Raw genomic sequence first — 16,296 nt, 5'->3', positions numbered from 1 at the left:
ATATGTCTTAGCATTTTGCTTTTGCTGAATTCCTATTTCCATGGAAATAGAGTTGTAGATTAGGCTAGCAATTTCAGCCACAGGAAATGTGCTCTCCTCCATCTTAACCAGTAGCAAAGTGGTTGGACATCAAGGGACAAAGACAAGCCCTAAGAGTCAGATTTAGTAAGGTAGATCTGAAGGTTTAAAAGAATTACAGTGACTCTGACTAGAAATATAGGGTGAACTACAGAAAGGCTTAACAAACAAGGAAGCAGGGATAAGCCATTAGGATAAGGATGCATAACATAGGATAGATCATTGATCCCCAACCTAGAGATCAACTAGTTGATGGCTGCAAGGCCATATGTGATCCAGCCACTTCCTGTCTCTCCAACTTTATCTTATGCTATCCTGCCCCATACTCTATTTGTACTCCAAGTTCATTAGACTTCTTCATGCATCCCACACTCTTTTCTGCCCTGCCTGTAGAACTGTTTACATGCTGTTTGCTTTCTTGGACTGCTATTCTTTCTGTTCTATACTCAGACAACCTTTTATTATCCTTTATGTCCAGATTTACATGCAATTTCCTCAAAAGGCCTTATGAGATCATCACTCCCCCCTCCCCAGTTATACAGTCTGATATTTTCTTTTTCTCGTGGTACTGTGTGACCTTTTTTGGAAGTATATAGGATTTTAAGGTTATGGTTTATTTGTATGATGATTGGTTTAGGGTTTTTTCCTCTACTAGTTTATAATCAAGTTATTTCTATTTTGTTCACTCTTGTGCCCCCAGTGTACAACATCAGGCACAGCAGCATGTAAATACTCAACTATTTAAAACTGATGAATTACATGCCCACTGTGTGTAAGGAAATGGGCTAAGCATTCATGGATTTTTTTTAATAGAAAACAATAAATAGTTTATACCTAATTTCCTGCCTCTTTTTTGATTCAACACCCTCCTCTTCCAGTGATGATTTTAATGTTACCAGGGCTCTCCTTATGTCCAGGGAATAAGAGATGACACTTATTTTTACAGATAAGAAAACTAGTTATCTTGAGTAAATATGGGATCGAACTCTTCTTATTTTCAACAGCATTTGAAGACTCAACATCATCCTTGAGCACAAATACATACTTTTGAGAAGTTGTAGGACTACAGGAAGCAGCTGTGGATATTCAACCCTGGTCCTTAAACTCACATGCAGCAACAAGCAAGGAATGGGCCTCTTCTTCCATAAACCCACGAACTTCAAAAACCCAGTTCATCCTATGCCAAACACAAGGAACTCTCCCTATGCATCACTACCCTTACCCTGCTCCTGGCAAGATGCATTTGGTAGTACAAGTGCTGCTTTGTTCAGCAAAGGAATGGTATAAAGAAAGTTATAAAAATATCAGCCAGACAGTAAAGTCAGGGAGCTTTGGCAAGAAAAAAGAATGAAGAAAGGGCATCACTAGAAATCATTATCAATAGTCCAAAATAGTGATTATTAAGGCCTAAAGGAGAACAGTGGATGTGCAAATGAAAAAACGAGGAAAGGTATACTAAATACTTAAGCAGAAATGTATTTCTTTATTCAAGTAGTAGTCATTGAATGCCTTCTCTATATTTGGCTGTTCTGTTCTAAGTGCTGTGAATATGATAGTGAACAAGACATATGAGGGTTACTTCCCTCGTTGAATTTATGCTCTAGTGGGTAAAGAGAAGAAAAAGTAAGCAAATACATTTAAAAGGATGATTTCAGACAGTGATTGCAGCAGTTTGAATATGATGCCTCCAAAATTCAGCTGTTGACAATGTAATGTTATTAAGAGTTGGGGCCTTTAAAATGTAATTATGCCATTGAGGGCTCCTCTCTTGCAAATGGAATTACTGCCCTTATAAAAGAAGCTTCCTGCGGTGTTTGGCTAACACACCCTTCTGTTTTCCACTATGTTAGGACGCAGGGTTCCTCACCTCTTAGAGGATGCAGCAACAAGGGACCAGCTTGAAAGCAGAGAGCAGCTATCACTAGACAACTGAACCTGCCACCAGTGCCTTGATGTTGGACTTTCCAGCCTCCAGAACTGTGGGAAATATATTTTTATTCGTTACCAATTAACCAGTCTCAGGTATTTTGTTATAGCATCACAAATGGACTGAGACAGTGACACGAAAACAAAATAGGTTATAGGAATAGACTGAATAGGTCAGCAGGGTGTGTGTGTGTGTGTGTGTGTGTGTGTGTGTGTGAGAGAGAGAGAGAGAGAGAGAGAGAGATTACTTTAGATTAGATAGTCATCAGGAAAGAACTTTCTAAGAAGGTCACATTTGAACTGAGACCAGAATAATAAAGAGACAGCCACACAAAGACCTGAGGAAGAGAGTTCCAGAAGAAAAGGGAAGAGAATGTTCAAATTCCCTGGGTAAATGACAGTCTGAACAAGTTTGAGAAACAGAAAGAAAGATAACGTAACTAGAGTTGAAGAGGGGGCTGGGTGAGGTGAAGGGATGAAAATATTAATAGAGGGTGAAAATGATACACAGGGGTCAGGTAAAGTGAGGCTTTGATCCCACAGTGGTTCTATTACATGAGTTGTATTAAAAATCAAAGTCTAGTTTTGGCCACTGAGTGGAAAATAAAGTATAGGAGAGTAAGAGTAAAAACAGGAAGGTTAGAATTCAGTTTGTCTTAATTATTGAGGCCAAAGATGATGGCAGCTTGGTTTAGAGAAATGACATGACGACAGATTGCATGGGAGGAGAAGCACAGAATCAAAAGTCAGCCTTTCGTTCTTAGCCCAGGTAGCTGAGAATGATGAGTTAGCCATGCTACCACATAAGAAGCAGCAGTGTTGAGAAAAGAAAGTGAACTTTGTTTTGTTCAAATTGAGTACGAGGGATCAACAACATAGCTAAGAAAAGAGACCCAGTGGGCAGGTTTAACTACAAGCCTATAGCTCAAGAGGTAAAAATTTGTGAATAATTAAACTGGAGGCTTTTCAGTCAAAAAAAAATTTAAGATTATCATGACTAGAGCTGAGTGGGATGAAGTCATGGTTAAAACATTGAAGGTAAATTCATAAGAAGAGAAATAAATAAAAAAAAGATGACGAAGTAAGAAAGAAAGCAGGAAAGACAGGTAACAGAATAATATAAATTTTACATCCCAGCACTTTGGAAAGCCTAGGTGGGTGGATCTCCTGAGGTCAGGAGTTCAAGACCAGCCTGGCCAACATGGTGAAACTCGGTCTCTACTAAAAATAAAAAAAAATTAGCTAGGCATGGTGGTGCACACCTATAATCCCAGCTACTTAGGAGGCTAAGGCAGGAGAATTGCGTGAACTCAGGAAGCATAGGTTACAGTGAGCCAAGATCATGCCACTGCACTCCAGCCTGGGTGACAGAGCGAGACTCCATCTTAAAAAAAAAAGAAAAAAAAAAAGACTCTCCACTGCTGAGATTAATCCAGAGGAGACAGACCATTCTTTTAACTAGGTAAAAATCCAAAGAGTGTTCAAAATACAGTGTATAGGTTGGTGCAAAAGTAAATGCGGGTTTTTTTTCCATTAAAAACTGCAATTACTTTTGCATCAACCTAATAGTAGATCTCGTTTTTTTTTCCCCTGATGCACTTGGCTGATAACATTTGCATGCATGATACATAAAACCATGAATACATCCATATTATAGATTAAAGTAGGGATCACAGATTCCCTGTGTATGGCTTCAACTCTACCTCATAGTATCCTATTCTAGTCAAGAAAGTATACTGAAATGAAATTAAGTAAGAACAACATTATTATGGAAATCATCTTGAGTTTGCTCTTAAAAAAAAATAGTAAGTAATCTCTAAAGAGTGCTCTAGGTACTTTTTTGGTAATAGGTGAATAAGCAAAATAACTCCTAATCAAGCAAGACCAAGAGGCCCAATACCATGGTTGAGACCTTTTATCCAGAATGTTTATCCAAGCAGCACATCAATTGAGCACTGGCAACTGAAAACTAACAAGGATTCAGAAAGGCAGAATATTATAATACAGGATGCCATCTAGCAGGTTTCAGAAACCAAGGCATAAGAAGAATATGATCTAGAGTCAAAAATCTGAGCCACTGGAAAACTGGAAGACAAAAGATAGGGCGACATCTGAAGGACAAGGATATCAAGGTCAATAGTGGGGTCTGCAGCAGGCCAGATGACCTGACCTGACAGTGGTATTCAGAGGGCTTCTGATGGCAGGGCTGGTCTGTCCTTGCTTTCCCACTGCAACCTGCCAGACCAAAAGGAATGTGAGAACAGATAATTGAAACTAATATATCCTAATACTCACTAGGTCGGCCGGGAATGGTGGCGTACGCCTGTAATAGTCACGTGGTCACAAAAGACCATGTGAAAAAAGTCTTTAAGAACACATTTTAAAAAAGACTTCTTATAGCTCTGACTCATTGTGAAAACTGCGTAAGAACATTGTTCCAGGAATCATTGTCTTTCATACTAATCTCATTGCTTTGCCATGATGTAAGAGAGTTTAACTTGTGGAGTCTCAGAATAGCTCAGATGGGGAATTTTTTATACAACGCTCTCAGTACCTCTGAGTTACCTTTAGGATCAAGGACTCCAACAAGAGGCAACAGAGTAATTCTGCTGTGAGGTATACTAGATGGGATGAAGCTAAGTGGAAAGAATAAGTCATCCAATCTTTAGTGCTTTGGGGCATGAGCTCAGTATTGCCTACAGTCCCCTTTTAAAAATGAAAGGTAAAAATAGTTAATGATACTAACACCATTAAATATGATTTTTTCCCCAGAGACAGCCTGGGAGAACACCCAATGTTATAAAAATATCATAACTCAGTGTGACAAAATCATCATCATGTTCAGAAAGGAGATGTTTCTTAAGTGAGGAATAAGGTAATGAGTGATCCCTCAAGTTTGGTAGGCCTGGCTGATACACTTAAGGGCCACCATGTGAGAGAAGCCTGCACACATCACAAGTTTAGACCCTTACAAGACTACAGGCAGTAGTCACAGCAGGTCCAGTCCTGAAGAAAGATGACTGACACAGACCCCTTCAATAAAAGAAAATTCTCATAGTCCTTCAAGATTCCTTGTTATAGGCTCACTATATCTCAGCACCCCCCAACCCCAAAATCGTTATGTTAAAGTCCTAGTACCCAGTAGCTCAGATGTGATTGTCTTTGGACATAGGGCTGTTAAAAAGGAAATTAAGTTAGAAAGAGTGAATCAGGGTGGGCCCTAATCTAATCTGACTGGTGTCCTTAACACCGCATGTTCTCACTCATAGGTGGGAACTGAACAATGAGAACACTTGGACACAGGGTGGGGAACATCACACACCAGGGCCTGTCATGGGGTCGGGGGAGGGGGGAGGGATAGCATTAGGAGAAACACCTAATGTAAATGACTAGTTAATGGGTGCAGCACACCAACATGGCACATGTATACATACGTAACAAACCTGCACGTTGTGCACATGTACCCTAGAACTTAAAGTATAATAAAAGATAAAGAAAAAAAAAAAAGAAGAGGATATTAGAACACACAGAGAGACACCAGGGATGCAAGTGTGTAGAGAAAAAGACCATGTGTAAAAGACAGAGAGAGAAGGCAGCCATCTACAAGCCAAAGAGAGAGGCCTCATGAGAAACCAAACCTGTCGTGACCTCGATCTTGGAGATCTAGCCTCCAGAACTGTGAGAAAATAAATGTTTGTTGTTTAAGTCACTCAGTTTGTGGTATTTGTTATGGTAGCCCTAATAAACCAAAACATTCTTCAATAAAAACTTTTTAAAACAGTAGAATATTTGATAATAAATGGAATCACAACATAAAACCATCTGTAACTTTTACTAATGCAAATCTCAATATTTTCTTGACTCTGAAGAAAATAATAGGAGCTTCGGAAAAGGTAAAACTAGCAGTCTCATGTTTTATTGTATTTTTTAAAAACTCGACCAAACTAATTTATTTACTGCACATGGCATTTACCAGCTGATACATTGCACTTCATACATTCTTAAAACTACTTTACCTCTCTTCCTCTTCCTACGTGGTTGTGTTGCATACTCCGGGCTCTTCTATGGAGCTTGTTAGTTCCCCTCAGTTACCAGTTATCTTCCAGATTCGTTCACGGTAGGATTTAACCATGTTGGGTTGTGAAGCAAGATCTATTGCTTCATATTTCACCCACTTAAGAAAGTTATTTGCCATTAAATTTCTTATTGTCATGTTTACAATAAGGGCGGGGTTTAAATATTATCTAGGAAGTGATGCTAGTTATGTTAGGCTTTCTATACCACAGAGAAACAATAGGAAATCTTCTCAGGCTGTTAAGCATTGAAAACAGCAGCCATTTAGATGACTTGGAGTGATTGTTGGCTGGGAGCTACTGTCCTGTACCTGGCTTATTTTCTACTGAGCCAGGCATCCTGGCTATTGATTGAAGCAATTTTTCTTATCCCCTTGCTCTCTAACTACAAAATGGCCCTTCAGTGCTGACCTTAAAGATGAGTGCTGCTTTTTTTTGTTTCCATTTTCCCTGATACATTCCCTGCCCTTTTCTTCCATAATAAGTGAAAAAAATAAAAAATAAAAAAAGCAGTGCCCACACTCCCTTAGGTGGTTCCATGAGAAACATTCAACCTTTCTTTCTTGGCAGGAGAGATACCAATTACATATCTGCATTGGCAGTAGCTACCTGTGCTCTAAGGACTGTAAATTTTTGTTCCATTTTTGTCTTGTTGGATGATAATAATAGCCACATTTCTTGAGACCTACCAGGTGTCAGGTACTGAGTAAGTACTTGACATAGAAAGTTTAACCCTCACATGAATCCTATAAGGTAAGTACTATTATCCCATATTGTTGAATAGAAAATTGAGGCATAGAGTGGTTGAATAACTTGTCTTGGATCACAGAGCTAACAAGTGTTAAAGCCACATCTTGAAGGTCAGAGCAAGTACTCTTACTCATCACACCCTACTCCCCTGCTTCCATTCCCTATCTCCCTTACTGATGTTTGAGAAAATTATTAGCCTTTCTGGTTACACAATGCCTCTTGAGCAGAGGATCTCAAGGTATCAGGTTGTGTCTTGAAGGCTAGAGTTGTACTGTAATTCCAACCCAGAAAAGCCTTCCCAGATCTTATTTAGTCAACAAAATTATACTACCTCTACAGATGAGGCCTATCATTATATGAGGGTATTATATTATCATATTAATAGTTGCTTCCAAATTTATCAACCCAATTTTTAATATAAAAAAGCCAATAGTGTCTGGCATTAAAACCAATGGAGAAACCATACTCCAAGGTCTTCACCAAGTGACTTAATCTATTGATAATCAGCATGGGAGTAATCCATGGTGCAACATATCTGCTTGCTCATCAAGTGTTTTAAGATAAAAGATTTGGCTGGGCGCAGTGGTTCATGCCTATAATCCCAGCACTTTGGGAGGCCAAGGTGGGTGGATCATGAGGTCAGGAGATCAAGACCATCGTGGCCAACATGGCGAAATCCCTTGTCTATTAAAAATACAAAAATTAGCCAGGCGTGGTGGTATGCACCTGTAGTCCCAGCTATTCAAAAGGCTGAGGCAGGAGAATCGCTTGAACCAGGGAGGCGGAGGTTGCAGTGAGCCGAGATCATGCCACTGTACTCCAGCCTGGCGACAGAGCAAAACTCCATCAAAAAAAAAAAAAAAAAGATAAAAGATGCTTGGTTTTGTTGAAATTACTACTTCTGCTTTCAATTTAATTCCTTGATCACCTACCTCTGATCATTCGTTTAGAATATAGTCTGAACTTAAAAAAGAAATCAGAAAACTAAGGTTAGAGCTTCCTATTTAATCTCAGCTATTGAGAAACAAATTTCTTAAACCTAGCGGATGTATCAGATAAACAAGTAGCTTTCCAATGTTGAGTAATGACCTGTTTCAAGGTCATGATTAATTTTTCTTAATGAAATAAAAAATAATGGAGAATACCAGAGTGTATTATTACACAGAGTGAGGTAAATATTATTTTGGAAAACTCTAGTTTTCAACTGCATGTTAATGTAACTGTGTGTTTTACAGCAAGTCACAGTCAAAAACATTGGGAAAACACTGATCTTCTGTTAGGTCCACAGAAGTGTGATCAATGAGTAGGAACATGCCTGGGTAGAGACTGGTCCTTGCATTCAGATGAGTTTCAGGAACACAGTACACTGTGAGGACCTGTGGACATTTCTATGTGTGTATTTTTTCCAATATTTTCTTTCTTTGTCCCCCAAATCTAAACTGTTTCAAGGGCCTTTCTTTCCTTCCATGAAGATGTTTCTTTCCTCTTTTCTGACCCACTGTCACTAAGACACGCTCTCTTCTTTTCTCATATCTAGGTCACTGCCATAGCACCTCCATGGGCTTATTCCCCCTCCTTCCCCACTCTTTCTCTACTCACCAATCCATGTTATTTACCTTTTCAGACCATCTTTCTAAAAATAATCTTTATATTTAGTAAATCTGTTTATAGAGAATCAAGTTCAAACTCTTTTATGTGGCCTCAACTTTCCTGCCTTTATGATCTGCATTTTCCACCATGCACCCTATTTTCCAAAATATTTTCCAAAGTAGGATGAATGGTGGAAAATGCAGATCATAAAGACAGGAAGGTTTTTCTAATGGACATGCCATTCTTACACTATTTCTGTACTTTTGACTGCATAGTTTAATTATTGAGTATTTCTGTACCTAACTTGCTTCTCCAGATTCTATCTTAAGTTCTAATTCTACCATGACATCTTTACTTACTGCTGTTGTTCAGACCTCTTTCGAAAATTCATAGAAGTGGAACATGCTATACTTATATCACTCCAGTATAGCCTCATTCAAGTTATTTTTTTTTCTTCAATGATATCATAAGCAGCTTGAGGCCAAGGCTCATGTTTTTCTTCTATGTTGGTAATTAAAATACTAGCAATAATGGTATTATGTGGTACTTACTATGTGCCAAGTAATAAACAAATATTATGTATGGACTGTTATATATTTCTGAGCCTCACCATATCCCTGAAAAATGGATAACAGTTAATCTTCATGATTCACAGATTTTATATTTCTGAATCGACCTATGTGTTAAAATTTATTTGTAATATTGAAACTAAAATGCACAGCACCATCATAGCCAACTGTGGACATGCACAAAGTGGTAAAAATTTTGAGTTGGCCAATGTGCACTTTTCTAGCTGAGGTCTAACATGATGATGTTCTGCCTTTTTGTTTTAACCCTTATATTATAACCAAGTATACATTTCAGATCTTTTTATTGCCACATGTTTCATACTTTTGGGGCTTTTTGTTTTGTTGATTTCACTGCTTAAAATGAGCCCAGAATGGTGCTGAAGTAGTATCTAGTGATCTTAAGCACAACAAAGTTATCCTATACCTTACATAGAAAATAAGTATGTTAGATAAACCTTGTTTAGGCATGAGATAAAGTGCTGTCGGCTATGAGTTCAATGTTAGTGCATCAACAACATACATTAAATAAGGTGTATTTTAACTGAAACGCACATAAAACAAAGTCATTTTGATTGGTTGATGAAAATGTTGTGACCAGATTCTCAAAGGGACCTAATCCTGTATTTCCCTTTGGAGCAATGGTTCAGTATTTGTTAATTCAGTGTCTGCTGTAATGTTATAGACTATACCTATCACAAACAATGAATTGACTATTATCCCTTCTTTGTTTCTTTTTTTTACAGAAACTAAGAAATAAGGTAGACAAAGATTAAGTAACATGCCTGAAGATACTAAGATAGCTGGACAGGCTGAAATTTGATTTTAAATATGTCTGATTAAATTTTATTAAGTCTTAAAGTTTCTGGAGCAAGCAGTGCCAACTCAATCCTCTACTGATAGAATAAGATTCAGAATGAATTATTTCAGTGGTGAAAAAAAAGTAAATGAACAAGTATTTTTTTTTCTTTTTTTCCTCTGAATTAGATATTCAGAGCAGTTTTCTAATATTTTGTGAAACAATGTAAGTTCCTCAAACATTATTATATTACCCTTAGTTATTCATTAATTATATCAACAAATATTTGAGTGTCTACATGCTTCAAGTACCAAGCTAAGCCCTAGGGACAAAATAATCTCTCAAAGAGCTTAAAAAATATTGCTGAAGGCAGACCTAGCAACAATAATTATGATGTTGTGTGTGAAAGTTCTGTAGTACGGATGTTTACAAGATTTCAAAAGCCCACAGAAGTAGAAAAAAATTTAATCTGCCTGGGATTTGGTGAGACTTTTGAGAACAACAACAACAAAAGATATCTTTAAGCTGGATCTTAAAGAAACATAAGTCAGATGAGAAAAGGGAAATCTGGCTGGGCGCAGTGGCTCACGCCTGTAATCCCAGAACTTTGGGAGGTTGAGGCGGGCAGATCACGAGGTCAGGAGATGGAGACCATCCTGGCTAACACGGTGAAACCCCATCTCTACTAAAAATACAAAAAATTAGCGGGGCGTGGTGGCGGGCGTCTGTAGCCCCAGCTACTCGGGAGGCTGAGGCAGGAGAATGGCGTGAACCCGGGAGGCAGAGCTTGCAGTGAGCGAAGATCTCGCCACTGATCTCCAGCCTGGGCGACAGTGCGAGACTCCATCTCAAAAAAAAAAAAAAAAGAAAAGGGAAAGCTATACCACATGGCTTTAATGAATAGTCTTGGAGTTATGACAGTCCAAAGGTTTGGAAAAGAATATGCTTGAAGGGAAAAGTTTTTGAAATATGTTCTACTAGTTTTCCAAAATAAAATTATTACTGTGGCTTATCATTCCAAAACATATAAGCACATTTTTATTGTATGAGGTTTTTACAATTTTAACATCTCATAAATCAAGGTTGGGACTTAAAATGAAAGACAGCTTAGTATTGTCACAGGTATACACACAGCAGCTTTTCTTACATACAGGGCACAAATAAAGGTGTATATTATAGGTGATATTGTCTAAGCCAGGATAAAATACAGTTTTATAGTTGTATCCAAAGATGGGTACTTTTAGGAAAGAATAGGATCTTAGAGGGAGCTTCATCTTATGACCCGACAGCTGACCAGACAAAGCCTCTGCACCACCTCTTCGGGGTACAGCTGCATATGTTGCATTCACTTCTCCTCTTAGAGATCTAGTGAGTGGCTAGTTGAAAATGGTGATAATGTCATAAATTATTTCCTTTGTTTTTTCTCTTTTTACTGATCTATTTCAGTTTTGGCATCAAAAATAAACAATGGGTATCATATATAGGCTTTGATATGGACTTAATCATAGTATGCAACAGTTGCCAAAGAGTTAAGTGGCTACACACAGACAGAGTAATGAATGAAGGGAAACAGCTTTGCTGGTAGTTAACCCATGTTCCTTACTGAAGTAACTGTGCCCATTTTAATGGAATTTGGTGTTGATTTAGTAATGTGATACTTTTGGGATTCAGCCATGCATATTTTTTTAACTAAATAGAAGTGATACTCTTTTACTTTGATAAGTTCTAATTATCTTCACAGGATAATCAGGATGGAATAAGGAAAAGCTATACACTTTTTTGGTTTAAGAAAAATGTAGGGGTTATAGATGTTGCTTCTTCTTTTCTCCATTGTCAATGGCAGCAAATTATTGCTCTTAGTAAAAGAGGACATTAACTCCAAGAACTTAAACTGCAGTGGCTCATGTGATTTTAATGCTGTCCCTCAGTAAGGTGAATAATCTGGGGAAAGATTAACTTCACAATTTTATTAATTTCTTAAGGTGAATACAATATTCTGATTTATGAAGTTGTCAAGCTACATGTTAAAGCAATGAAAGAAGAATATTGTACTAACGTTTAAAAATAGGTTTGTTGTGAATTGATTTAGGAGATGACAACAATAATAACTTATATAATTTGAAATTTTAAGGGTTCATACAATTCTATGGATTTGTTAGTTAAAATACTTACATAAATCTCTCACATTCTGAATTACTATTACTGAACAGAGGTAGATAATATAAAAAATAAATGTTTTTATATACAAATACAAGAACAAAGTGTCTTAGTGGTATTTAGAAACCCTGCTGAATTAAATTTTTCATGAATGAGTTTCCTCCATAGGCCAAAAAATAAGTTACCTTTTAGAAATAATAATGACAATTAAAAACAGGAGTCATTTTAACTTAAGGACCTCATGTGTTGGGAGGAATCAGGCCAATTCTTATGATCCTAATTCATAATTTTATTTATTTATTTATTTATTTATTTATTTATTTAAGACAGAGTGTCACTCTGTCACCCAGGCCGGAGTGCAGTGGTGTGATCTCAGCTCACTGAGACCTCCGATTCCCGGGTTCAAGAGATACCGCCTCAGGCTCCCGAGTAGCTAGAATTACAGGCATGCACTACCATGCACTGCTTTTTTTTTTTTTTTTTTTTTGTATTTTTAGTAGCAACAGGGTTTCACCATGTTGTCCAGGCTGGTCTCAAACTCCTGACCTCAAGGGATCAGCCTGCCTTGACCTCCCAAAGTGCTGTGATTACAGACATGAGCCACTGCGCCTGGTTTAATTCACAATATCATCACAGCCATATTAAAGGCCTTCAAAAGTTTTCAAGGTCTTCATGGTTTAATTCATTTGATTTTCAATAGAAAAAAGTATATGCATATGCACATATTTGTATGTGCCTGTGTATGTTTATTGGAGTACATTCCAATAATTTACTAACCAGATATCCAAACTTTTCCTATGATCTTGCTAATATAAGCTATTCTGTCTGTAGTAGTTAGTATATAGTAGACAATTCTATGTCTCTTTCATCAAAATATCCAATCAAGTTTTTAATTGAGTACAACATTACCAGCCATTTTTAATAAAATACCTTGCACATAACTACATTTAAAAGAATATATTCCCTTTAATTTTACTTAATTTCTCTTTTATCTTTTCTCATCATTTTCTACTGGAAAAAGGATGAAAAAAGTTCATGGATACCTCTGTGATTATTACCACTACTTTTGTTGTTAATACATTCAACAAACATTTGTTGAACATCTTCTATAGACAGGATTCTATGTGAAATCTTATTTGCAGGAGGTGGGCTGGCACTTGGCTAGGGTCCAAAGATGGATCAGAAACATGTCTTTTTTTCCGAAGATTTGCTAATTAGTGCTGATACTACAAGATATGATGAGATGCAGAAGAGGAAATGCTCTTGGAGTTCACAGGCCCATAAGACCTGAGAACTTCAACAGCAGATTGAGATAGACGAAGCCGGTCTGAAAACACAGAGGAAGCAAAGACCCAGAGCCAAGAACATACAGTGCTTTCAGGAATCAGGAAGTGGTTCATTTACCTCAAGTGGCTGGTCTGTGAGGAGAAAGAGTAATCCACACATGAGGCTGGAAAGGTAGGTAACCTACATATGTGGAGTGTACTAGGAGGCAGTATAATGACTTCAAGTTGTCATTCGGGAAGACTTGAAGCTCTACCAAAGGTTTTTGAGTAGACAGTGACATAATCAGAGCTGTTCTATGATAAATTATAGTACCACAGTATATAACATTGCTAGGGATGTAGGTAAACAGGCGAGGGAGGATCAAAAGGAAGAGGCCACAGAAATCATGTAGGCTGAGGTAATTAGAGGCTGACCTGGATGACAGTAGTGGAAAGAGAGAGGAAAGAATGGATGAAAGAGGCATTAAGTAGGCAGACCCAAGAGAAAAGAGAAAAGGAAAAAGTCAAGATGGCATTTCAATTCTAGCTAGGGACTACTAATTCTATTTTTAAAAAGTGGAGAAATGCAAGAAAACTTGGAATTAAGATTAGTTTATGCCACATTAATCCTGAGTTGCTAGCCAATTAGAAATGCCCAGAGCCCTTGGACATGGCAAAAACTAAAGTAACGTGAAGTTCAAAGAATATTGATGAAGATTATAAACCAGAGTTTATAATCAAGTAAAGAAGACAGTAAATATTTGCAAATTCTTTGTATAAAATTGTGGGAAGTAGAATACAAGAGATAAAAATTCTTTGAAATTTCAGATAAGAGAAAAATCATTTTCAGATAAAGGTGGGGGTTGGTCATCTGGAGTTCAGAAAGACTTACCAGAGTTGAGCTAGAATTATGACAGGCAGAGATGGGAGAGGAAGGAATTTCAGATAAGGAGGGCATTCCAGATGCCCCAAAAGACAACAGTAAAGTTAATGACATAGGAAAATGCAGCTGCCATTTGTGAGGCAATGACGAGGACACCAACGTGCTTAGGACTTTGTGTATACTTCCTTTGATGAAGTAGGATGGAAAGAGAGAAACCTATTTCTGACTAGACTAAAATGAAACAAGATAATTAGCCAAATTGCTCTATTTAAGTCAAACCAGCTAATGTCAATGACTAAGCAACTGGTTAATGGAATTTTTCATTGAATTTATGCACACAAATAAGTAGCTCAGTCAAAATATGTTCTAAATATAAACTGGTCACATTAATTTCTTGAACTTGCACACATAAGAATTTTGAAGCCCTACACTTTTGAGAGTTAGAGATTATTTCATGGAGTACTTTACCTAATGTTTCAACTGTGAACAGAGTTTATGAGAATTTTTTTGAAATCACAACTTATATTTTGTGTCAAAGACTTTAAATGCTATTTTTAATGTAAATATTAATAGAAGCATTTCAGAACTGCAGGGAAAAGTACTTGGTTACTTTATTAACATTTAAAACTTAGGAAAAAAAGTGTTTCATCTTTGTAAGAGAAAAGCATCTTTGAAATGTTCAAAAGATAATAATCTTCCATCCACTCCAGGCAATGTACTTTTACAATTATAATTTTAAATACGGACAGTGGTGATTTAATATAGAATTCAGCACCAATAATTCTCGTAGCAGTTTCTTTCAGCAGTATATGCATATGATTTTAGCAATATATGTACCTCTATACAAATTAGGGTGTCAGTATTATTTATGAAAGACTCCATGATTCTAAAAAGTCTTGTTTTCCTCTTTCCTTCAATAGCTAATTAAAACAAAACAAAACAAAACAAAACAAAACAAAACAAATCCTGTATTTTCCAAGGGAAATACCAATAAACTTACAAATTTAGAGTAGGCTGAAGGAACACAAAACCTAATCTGGGAGTTTTGCCAAATCTTTATTTTAATGAACTTTATGCAGAGATGCAGTAAGAACATTATGCTGAAAATGCAGAAATGAACTCAGCAGTCTTTGTAGAAGTACCTTTGAATCTACAGCATAAAAAGAGTTAATCTGAAACGCAAACTGTAGTTGCATTAAATATGCTTTGTTTGCCATTCAATAAGCTTTGTTTTAATGGCAAAGGCAATACTGACATTGGGTGAGTACTTAAACTTTATTATGGAAATAAATGATGTTGTTCTAAAAGTCTTCCAAAACAAGAAAAATATGCTGTGAGAAGTTATTGAATTTCGTATTTTCTTAGCTAGAACAATTTTCTATTTGCCTTATATTTTCAGGGAATAGTTTGATAAAATTAAATATGTTTTTCCCCCACTAATAGCAAAATCCTAAACAAACTTTAAACTATGTTTTTTTGCATGTTACAGTTAATGTGTTTTCATTATGCTTAATGCATTTTTAATAGTCTCCTATGTCAAGATGGTATATTAAATGTGGGAATAAAATATCCATGATACCACCTTGAATTTGCTATAGTGCCTTTTATCTGGGGGCTCAAAGCACTTCATACAGGTTCTCATTCAGTATCTCCTTGAGGTGTAATATATGCATTTTATGGGCGAGGACATTGAGGTGGAGAATGACTAAGGGAACTGAGGTCATTTCCAGAGCTCACACTAAGCATAACTTGGATGAGCATTATCTTCCTCCAGTCCGCCTCCAAGACGGCTGCACTGGCTTCGTGGGACCAAAAACTGATTGCATCTTCACTAGCCCTTTCCTTCACGAACTTGTCTCCCTTACCTGGACACCATCAGATGCAGGGATGTAACTTGCCCTTTTAAATGTGTCTGTCACATTTCTCAGGATCTCCACAGACATCAGAAGATCGCCTGCATAGAAATTTTTTCTCTGAGTTAAATCCAACAGTGTCTTGGTCACCTGGGACATTCCATCACCTGCCAGCATTCGCTGCCCCTTAGCAAGGTGCTCTTTAATCTGTGATGGTCAAAAGAACAGAGCAAACATCAGAATCTTCATTACCATTTATCTGAATAACTTCATCAAACAACTTTATTTAAAATTGCTCAATTAACTTAAAATAGCCTTGCAATGCTTGGGAGGATTTGAAAACTGTAAATTGTGTG

At 37.1% G+C, this 16,296-nt stretch overlaps 1 protein-coding gene across 1 annotated transcript in view; it reads right to left on the bottom strand.

The window, feature by feature from the left end:
* The window catches only part of ADGRB3 (adhesion G protein-coupled receptor B3), a 754,225-nt gene that overhangs the window by 379,592 nt on the left and 358,337 nt on the right, over window positions 1-16,296 (bottom strand). The window contains exon 11 of the mRNA NM_001704.3: window positions 15,953-16,147. Coding sequence (NP_001695.2) covers window positions 15,953-16,147 — 195 coding nt within the window. The remainder of the gene's footprint in view (window positions 1-15,952; window positions 16,148-16,296) is intronic.

This window comes from Homo sapiens, chromosome 6, assembly GCF_000001405.40.
Source record: "Homo sapiens chromosome 6, GRCh38.p14 Primary Assembly".
Lineage (NCBI taxonomy): Eukaryota > Metazoa > Chordata > Mammalia > Primates > Hominidae > Homo > Homo sapiens.
The sequence above is the reverse complement of the archived record's forward strand: the minus strand, read 5'-3'. Positions and strand labels throughout refer to the sequence as shown.